Source organism: Homo sapiens, chromosome X, assembly GCF_000001405.40.
Source record: "Homo sapiens chromosome X, GRCh38.p14 Primary Assembly".
NCBI classification, from domain to species: Eukaryota; Metazoa; Chordata; class Mammalia; order Primates; family Hominidae; genus Homo; species Homo sapiens.
This window is the reverse complement of record NC_000023.11, coordinates 103183410-103193868: the sequence shown is the minus strand read 5'-3', so window position 1 is coordinate 103193868 and position 10459 is coordinate 103183410. Positions and strand designations below refer to the sequence as shown.

General features: G+C 37.9%; 1 annotated feature.

Moving 5' to 3' along the window:
- Nucleotides 9363–10116: an enhancer, noted in NCBI's record as "OCT4-NANOG hESC enhancer chrX:102438681-102439434 (GRCh37/hg19 assembly coordinates)". NCBI's record gives its function as "activates a minimal SCP1, AML or CMV promoter by ChIP-STARR-seq in naive and primed H9 embryonic stem cells {active_cell/tissue: H9 hESC(naive and primed)}" and the evidence as "EXISTENCE:reporter gene assay evidence [ECO:0000049][PMID:30033119]".

Below are 10459 nucleotides of genomic sequence, written 5' to 3'. Positions count from 1 at the left end.
TCTGGCTTAACACAGGAGGGCACTCAATACAAAAACAGTGGTCAGATAAGAGGTACTGAGATTTTATGCTGAGAAACATTACCTGCTGGTTACATGAAATGAGAAAAAAAATTATCAACTATATGTGCTATAATTATTGACATCTTTTATTATTATTGCTGTTATTGGGGTTTGCATTTATTATTTATTTTTTATTTTTTCATTTAGATATGGAATCTAAAAAAAATTTTAACTCATAGAAGTAGAGAGTAGAATGGTGGTTACCAGGGGCTGGGGAGATGTTGATCAAACAATACAAAATTTCAGTTGGGGCCGGGCACAGTGGCTCACGCCTAGAATCTCAGCACTTTGAGAGGCCAAGGGGGGCAGATCACTTGAGGTCAGGAGTTTGAGACCAGCCTGGCCAACATGGTGAAACCCCATCTCTACTAAAAATGCAACAACAACAACAAAAATAGCCAGGTACGCACCTGTAATCCCAGCCACTCGGGCGCCCGAGGCACGAGAATCACTTGAACTTGGGAAGCGGAGGTTGCAGTGAGTGGAGATTGTGCCACTGCACTCCAGCCTGGGTGACAGAGTGAGACTTCGTCTCAAAAAAAAAAAAATCTACTGGATAGGAGGAATAAATTCAAAACATCTATTGTACAACATAGTAACTATAGTTAATAACAATATATTGTATTCTTGAAAATTGCTAAGAGAGTATATTTTAAGTATTCTCACCACAAAAATATAAGGATGTGAGGTAATGCATATGTTAACTAGCTCAATTTAGCCATTTAGCCATTTCACGATATATATATATATTTCAAAACATCATGTTGTACTTGACAAATATATACATATATAATTTCTTGGTTTATATCCAAAAGAATTGAAATTGATATGTCAAAAAGATACCTGCACTCCCAAGGTCATTGTAGCATTATTCACAATACCTAAGATATGAACGCAACCTAGGGGTCCAACATCAGATGAATAAATAAAGAAAATGTAGTATATATGCACAAGGGAATACTATTCAGCCCTTAAAAGAAGGAAGTTCTGTCATTTGTGACAACATAGATGAAAATGGAAGACATTATGCAAGCGAAATAAGCCAGGCACAGAAAGAAAAATATGGCATGATCTCACTTATATATTAAATCTAAGAAAGTTGAACACATAGTAGTAGAGAGTAGGAAGGTGGCTACCAAGAACTGGAAGTGGGGAGTGAATGGGGAAAGGAAAGATGTTGATTGAAAGATACAAAGTTTCAATTAGGCAGGTTAAGCTTTAGTAATCTATTGCACAGAATGGTGACTATAATCAGTAATAATGCATTGTATTTTTCCAAATTGCTAAAAGAGTGGATTTTAAATATTTTTACCACAAAGATATGTGAGGTGATGGATTTGTTAATTAGCTTGACTGAGTTCATTTTGCAATGTAAACATATATGAAAACATCACATTGCACCACATAAATATATACAATTATTTTTTTAGAAAGACTCAGAAGACAACCTACAGGGGCTCCCATTGGCCAAACATTAAAAAATTTAAGTATCAAAAACATTAGTAACTGAAATGGATTAACACACATTAAATATAGAAAACTCTATGAGCTCATGATGACACTCTAAAAAAGAAACAACAAACAAAATCAACTCACTGCTCAATTTTGGAGGATCCTGGGGAGACAACTCATATATAGTGGAAAAATTACAAAAGAATTAAACATTCACCTTACCTTTCCTGTGCATACTATTCCTAAATATAACCTAATAGTTGATAAGAGGAAGTTTCTTTTATAAAGGAATTACAGCTAATAAATGCAACAGAAATTAAAGAATTAGTACATCATAATTTGAAACCTTTAATTAAATGCAGTTGTAGGCAACAATCATCAGAAGCTACAAAAAAAAAAAATCACGAAAGGAAAAGCCTATGGGAAATTTTACAATGCATGGATCAGGCTGACAACACCTAAATGCAGTGATCAATCTAAAGTCACAGGAGAGACAACCAGACAAGATAAGCTTCCTAGTCGAAAGCTATAGGAAGCATAACATCACATTTGAGGTATTCTTGCCAAAAAGCCAGAATCTGATCAAGCTTATAAATCTAATTAAAGGAATTAGAAGGGGCCAGAGAAACATAAAAAGCAACACTATAGGAATACAATCAGCAAAACCCAGAATGCAAACTCCACAGGGCAAAACACCCAGTTCCTTAAATAAACAAACTAGAGGGTCAGAGAGAGAGAGCGAGAGAGAGAGGACAGACCTTCCTTGGAATAAAAGAGACAACATTTCAAAGTTAGATTTAATAGAAATTAAAATTAAAACCACAATGAGATACCACCACACACCTAACAAAACAATAAAAATGAGAAAGAAAATACCGAGTGCTGGCAAGGACGTGGAGCAGTGGAACTCTCAACACTGCTGGTGGGAATACAGATTGGAAAAAACCACTTTGAAAAATTGCTTGGTGGTATATTCTGAGCTGAACATACACATACCCTATGACTCAGAAATGCCACGCTTAGGTACATACATGCCCAAGGGAAATAAAAGTAAATGCCCATCCAAATGATACAAACAAGAATGTTCATACCACCATTATTCATAATAAGTCAAAAACTGAAAAATACCTAAATCCCATTAACAAATATATGTATTTTTAAATATTCACATGATGTAATATTCAATGAGAATGAATAGTCTACAACTATAAACACCTATCGAGGTAAATTTCATGCACGTTATGTTGATTAAAAGGAGCCAGACACAAAAAAAGTACAAGCTGTATGATACCAAAAACAATTTTTTCTTCAAATCTCCCAATAAAGTTTGGGGAAGAAGAGGAAAATCAACACCCCATTTTCTTTTATTTGAAGGTATTTAGTGTCTTTTTATATTACCTGCAGGTTAACCTCAGAGAACCGTGTATCCACTCAGCCCTTGAAACGCAATTTGCTACCGGCAGGAACTAGGCTAATGTTGTGTATGAGGACAGGCACTAAGTGCAAGACACTAACTCTAGGTGGCCTTGGGTAAATCATCTGCCTCATCCATCAGTGGGGGTCAGATCTGCACTGCCTCCCAAACAATGAAACCCAAAGCACAGAAGAATGTTATTTCCATCTAGAAAGCTGCCTAAGTTACTAAAAAAAAAAAAAATAGAATTTACTGTGGAAGTCCAAGGAATTATCTTAATAGCCAAGTGGTCTAGTGTATAGTATCTGTTATGGTTGTTACTTTTTATGTTTTTGTATTACCTTTTTGTTTTTCTTAAATAAATACCCTCTCTTACATAGTACAATGGCTACCAAGGGGTAATTTTCATCAAAAGAGATAGGGCCCTGTCTACCATCAACTACTGTGGACTGACATGGTTCAACACATGGCTTTTTCTTCCTCCTAAGTGTACTAGTTAAGAGTATGCATTCTTGGCTGGGCGCGGTGGCTCATGCCTGTAATCCCAGCACTTTGGGAGGCTGAGGTGGGCGGATCATGAGGTCAGGAGATTGAGACCATCCTGGCTAACACGGTGAAACCCCTTCTCTACTAAAAATACAAAAAATTAGCCAGGCATGGTGGCACATGCCTGTAGTCCCAGCTACTCAGGAGGCTGAGGCAGGAGAATGGCGTGAACCCGGGAAGTGGAGCTTGCAATGAGCCGAGATCGCACCACTGCACTCCAGCCCGGGTGACAGAGCGAAACTCCGTCTCAAAAAAAAAAAAAAGAAAAGAAAAGAATATGCATTCTTGTGAGAGAATGATTGCAAACTCTAGTCTGCCACATAAAAACTGCATGCCTTTGAATAGTTTTACTTGACCTTAAAGTCACTCAAATATCTCACCCGTAAAACCAGGTTTATATAGTTCTTAGAAAAAAAGTTTTTAAAATATTGTCTTGTGTTTTAGTTTTTACAAAGATAAGTGGTCAGAAATCCAATCATTTAAAACATTCTGCTGTCGACACATTGGGATACCTGGCTCTGTGACCCTGAGGCAATGAAAAAACTCTGTGCCTCAGTTTCCTCTCTGTCAAGTGGGGAAAGCAATCGTTCCCACCTCATGGGTTGTTGCTTTGAGAATTACTTGAGTTAATACACGAAAACGCTTAGAACAGTGGTAGGCACACAGTAACTTCATTAAATGTAAACTTGCATATTGAGATTTTTATAGTTTTAAAAGTTTGATAGTTTGCATGTCTTCAATAAATCTTACTAGTCTCACAACTAAATCTTAATTATTAATTGATGTATTTTTTAAATTACTAACCTTTACTATAACCACTTTTGGATGTCCTAACTAATTAACTTGAGAATATCTCAAAAGAACGTGTAACCACTGATCTCAGAAAGCTGCACCAACATTTCTCTATGTAGCTATACAAACGACTGAGGGGTCATTCTTGACTGTGCCTTATCCCCACATACCATGAACAGGCACTGCAGGTCCCACCTGCCCTACCTCCAAACATTCTCTGTACATTCTCCCCCAAACATTATCTGTAGGGTTTCTCTGTTCATGTAATTACTCAGAATTGCACCAGTCCTTCCCTCCCACCTAAGATCACAGATTGCTTTCCCACGTGGGATCACACTTAAACTCCAGAGTATATTACTGGTTATCAGGAAGACTGTGTACTGTTATTCTGTTATACACATGAGGCTGGTAGAAGGGTAGTGACTCACCTAAAGTGTCCCAATGATGGGACCCTGATCTTTTCACTCTTGTTCCAGTAAGCTGTCTAGCAGGCTCCATACCACACTTGGTTCTTCTCTATCAGCCCCTTGTTCTAGGATGCACAGTCCACACCCTTCTCTGCTGTTTCATTAGAAGGGAGATTAAGAAGATAATAAAGCATGTGGAATAGAGAGGAAAGTAAGAGGATGAGAAAGCACATGAAAAGCAGGGGATGGGATGATGATGTCTGGCCTGTCCCCACTCAGTTAACTAAAAGCTGTGTAATGACACTTTTCCTCTTCCCTAGCTCCATTCTACAACCCCCTGCCACACAGAGCAGTGACACTGAAGCTAACACATAGTGGAAATGTGGGTTTATCTGTGCTTGCTGTTACATATCCAAATATTGTCCCTGGTAGTCAGGCTATTATGTTAATGCCAGAGGCATCACATTGATGGAACGAAGGAGACAAGTTGGAATGGGGAACTAACATTTGCTGAGGGCCTTTTCTCTTCAAGCCTTCAAGGTGCTGCTCTGAGGTAAGCATCATTACTTTTTTCTACAGATGGGGATATAGTCAGATTCAGAGAGCAAAGGACATGCTCAAGGAATTCAAGGAAGCTGTCAAATGGACACTGAGGCCAACTTGAAGGGGCTTCCACTAGCCAATTCTGGGACAATTTGAGCATCGAAATAATTAAAGTACTATATGGTAATAAAGCTTTTCTTCCTCATTCTCTGCAAATCCACCTTGATGAATTTGTGGAATCTTGAGTTTGCCTTTGGGCAAAATTGGAATCTATGAGTCATACTGATATAAATAAATGCTTGAATAAATACATAAATAAACAATAGGATCAAAGAGACCTGTCTACTTTACAGTTGAATGCCACTTAATAAATCTAGAAGGACTAACAGAATTAGAAAAATAGCACTTGTAAAGTCTCATAGTAATAAGTGATTCAGGTAAGAATTATAAATGCATGCTTAGTCTGCACCAAATCCCACAACAGTAACCACGTCACCATGGTAACCCTGCTAGGAAAAAAACAAACAACACTTTATTTTATTCCTGATATGTACTAGGAACTGAACAGTACTGATACATTGCACAGTAATTAACCTCAAGTGTTCCTCAAAATACACACTCCCAGCAGCTTTAGTGATATACACATATATACATATATACCCACATACATATATGCTCTGTTATCTCTCTCACAACTCAAGATTCCACAAATTCATCAAGGTGGATTTGCAGAGGATGAAGAAGAAAAACTCCAAAATTCAACAAATTCAATTCTAACCACCCACATCAAATTGAAAGTACCATAACCATTTTCTTCTAGTAATTGAGTTTTTTCTACATCACCTATAAAATTGTCTCTGGAACATTTTTGTCTCTTTTTGAGTCAGAAGGCTTAATATTGTTAAGATGAAAATTGGTAAGAGGAAAAATCCCCAAACTGTTCTATGAATCCAGTGAAAATCCTAGTGTGTGTTTTTTTCAAAAGAAATGGAGGAGCTGATTCTAAAATTCATGTGGAGGTGCAAAAGATCTACACTAGAAAAAAAAAACCTTGAAAAAGAACAAAATTGGAGAACAAACACCACCTGATTTCAAGACTCACTCCAAACTTACAGTAATTAAAACAGTGTGCTGTTGGCATCGAGGTAGACAATTAGATCAATGGAACAGAATAAAGAGTCTCAAAATAGATCCTGCCAATATGGAAAAGTGATTTTTGACACAGGCACAAAGGCAATTTAGTGAGGAAAGGATCTTCTTTTCAACAAATGGTGCTGGGATAAGAGGATATTCATATGCACAAATATAAATTGTGATCTATATATCATGCCATATGCAAAAGTCAATGCAAAATGGATCATAGACCTAAATGTAAAACGTAGAGCTACAGAAACATTGGAAAAAACACAAAAGAAGAAAACTAGGAGAAAATTCTTGCTATCATTGATTAGGCGAAGATTTCCTAGATGTCACAACAAAACTACAGTCCATACATGAACAAATTGATAATTTAGATCTACTTAAATTAAAAATGTCTGCTCTTCCCAAAGCACTATTCAGAGAATGAAAAGACAAAGCCACTGACTGGGAGAAAAATATTTTTGTTTTTATTTTTTATTCTTTCTATCTATCTATCTATCTATCTATCTATCTATCTATCTATCTATCTATCTATTTTTAAGATGGAGTCTCCCACTGTCGTCAAGGCTGGAATGCAGTGGCACGATCTCAGCTCAGTGCAAGCTCCGCCTCCTGGGTTCACGCCATTCTCCTGCCTCAGCCTCCCGAGTAGCTGGGACTACAGGCGCCCGCCACCACGCCTGGCTAATTTTTTGTATTTTTAGTAGAGACAGGGTTTCACTGTGTTAGCCAGGATGGTCTCGATCTCATGACCTCGTGATCCGCCTGCCTTGGCCTCCCAAAGTGCTGGGATTACAGGTGTGAGCCACCGCGCCCGGTGGAGAAAAATATTTTTAAATCATATATCTGATAAAGGACTTGAAAGAATATCTCACAAAACTTCATAGAACAAAATAGACATTCTCCAAAACAAATATGAAAAGGATTTTAATGGTTACTTTATCAAGAAGATCTAAAAATGTCAAATAAGCACACGAAACTATGCTCAACATCATTAGTCATTAGAAAGTTGTAACTATAATGAGATGCCATTATACTCCTATGAGAATGGCCAAAATTAAAAATACTGACCACACTAAGCATTGGCAAGATTGTGGAGAATGGAACTCTCCTAAACTGCTGGTGAGAATAAAAAATGGAGGCTGAGGCAGGAGAATGGCGCGAACCCGGGAGGCGGAGCTTGCAGTGAGCCGAGATCGTGCCACTGCACTCCAGCCTGGGCGACGGTGCGAGACTCCGTCTCAAAAAGAAAAAAAAGAAAAGTGTCCAAAAAAGAACACATTCTGTATGATTCCATTTATATAAAACTATACAAAGGAAAATTAATTGTGACATAAGTTAATTGGTTACCTAGGAATGAGCAGGAGTTGAGGGGAGGGAGTCGGAGGCTGGAGACAAGTGAGTGGGGAGATTATTATACTAAAGCACACAAGGAAGCTTTGAGGGTGACATGTTCATTATTTTGACTACAGTATTAGTTTCACAGTGTGTGTGTATATATATATATGTCACAACTTACTAAAACATATACTTTAAATGTGCACATTTGAAGTGTATTTGTATTTTTATGCATTAAAGAATGCGATTAACTTAATCATTAGAAAGAGTCCCATAAATATGCTCTAATCATATTAACAGGTCCACACTATGGCTTACCAAATTAGTTCACATTACATTTGACCGAAATCGAGATAATTATTTGCAATGAAGTGTATCTAAATATTTAGAGAAAGTTGATACACATGTCATTTGAAGGATGTAACTAAAAGTATCATTTCTTGGAAAATAATCATAATGATGTTTAACGATATATGGTTATTTTAGGGAACGTGGCTGAGTAACATTATCATAGGGTAAACTAGAGGGCAATTATTAGTTTTGAAAATACTGAATTCTTGCGCCTGATATTTTTTACTAACACTTTATAAATTTCTGGCTTCTTAAAAAATGTCATTATAGGCTGGATACAAATGTGGTAACCATGAAAGAATGCATATTATAATCTCAAATTGTTAGGAAGACCTTCCTACCAACTGCGTATTTCAACACTCATCGGAGAGATACATAGAGTCACTTATTATTATTTATACAGACAGAAAATTATATGTGAATTTATTGCAATTTTATGTTAAATGTCAGGTTATTTCCTCAAGCAGGTGAATTCATTGCTTTAAAAGAATTTATCTATAAGATGGGCACCAAGGGCTGCTACAAAGCATGTAGCTGCTGATGGAATGAAATTTCACTTGCTAAACATTTTCTCCAATGATACGATTCAAGTAGCTGCTCTACTTTTAGAGTATTTTAATATTTGCTAATCTGATATCATATTGTTGGAATGTTAGGTTACTTTTCATTTTTCTCCTATTATATTTCCGTATAAATGGCATAGTTCATATTTATGCCACAGAATATGTCTTGAAATAATTCTACAGTTTGAAAACCAATTTTGATGACTATATGTGTTTATGCTGCATCTTATTTAACTGGAAAATGTGGGGCCATGAGAACTTCATACACTGCTGTGAGAGGACAAATTGGTATAACCTGTTTGTAGAGACCTTTGGCAACATTTATGAGATAAGTAAGTGAGGACCTCATTAGCTGCTGTATACTTGGTGACAAACTGCAGAGAGTCTCAGGCACATGTGTCCCAGGAAACCTGTGCAAGATGGTTATGGCAGCATGGTTAGTCATGTCAAAACAGCCCCAAAGTCACCTTATTAGAGAAATCTCAGAAACACTATTTTCAAAGGGGAAAAAGGTACAAAGGGGCACTTACTCTAAGATAGCACAAATATTTATAGCCAAAAATGTGCAATTACATATTTTGCATCATTCTCTCACAACAAGTCTGCGAGGAAGGCTTCATTATTTCCAGTTTACAGATGACCAATTCAGACTCGCTGATGGAAAATCAATTTTGCAGAGGCATCTAGTAAGGATCAGAAGTGGAGTTGTAACTCTTACTCTTCTCAAAGGACAACACATGGTCTCCTTTTATAGATAATGACCATCTAGGACTTAAACACTTGTAGTTATTTATGGTGCTAAGATTGTGCCTGTTGGGATTCGATCAGGCTGGTGGGAAAAATATTAGTTATGATAGCCATAAAACCCTTTCGGAAGGCCTGAGGGTTTTCACATGACTTTGGTAATAGACCGGACTGGAAGCAGCCTGGTCCCATTACCTTTAGTTAAATAGATTAAAATAGTAAACAACGGAATGTGGGGAAGCTGTCTAGCTAGCTTGTTTACTCATATGATCTTAAAACTAACCTTTGATGTACCTTGGGTGCTTAAGTGCCTTTTACTCAGGAAGTCCACAATGTCAATTACTCCCTAATGGTGTTGACTCAAGCTTTTGTTAGTTAATCTTACTGAATAAATGCAAATCTCCCTAGCTGACTGAGGCAGGCCGCAGTACAGCACCTCTCTTGGTGTGTAAGCGGCTCGGACAGACTCAGCTGGACTGGCAAAACACAGTATCTGTGTGTCAGTGTACGTTTATTCATTCGTTGCTGAATCAGGGGTCTGCAGGAACAGACGCCCCCGCAGCTAGTGCCTCCGTGAAAGGAGCACTGCCTCATATGCCCTTGTGGGTACTCACTCAACAACCTGTCTCTCTTTGAAGAAGCTGATGGTGCAGAGGAAATCCCAGTGCAATGTCCTGTAGGTGGTAATGGGTCTGGTATGAGAGTCAAAGGCTTATGACTCCTGCCTCCTCTTCATCTGCGCTCTTTCTTCATTTGAGACTCAATGGGAAACTGCTTTTCCAATATCAATCTAGAAGGTCAAATGATGGGGCAGAAAATGATAGGGGATTGGTTTGATGATCTTCTCACCTCACCCCAATACCTCAACAAGCCATCCTGTAACGCAGAAATGGCCCCAAAGGTTCATGTATAAGTGTGAGCACATGCTCCATCTTCATGCTCTCCTTCCAGGTGGTCTCTGTGGTAGTTATGCTGCTTGGTTTAGATAACAGTCGTCATTTCTCTGGGAGGGAGGAAAAAGGTGGGCCTGGATGACCATTCGTTGAAGTACTACTAGGTGCCATCTACTCTGTATGGGACTTCTCATTTACCCCACAGAAAACTTGTCT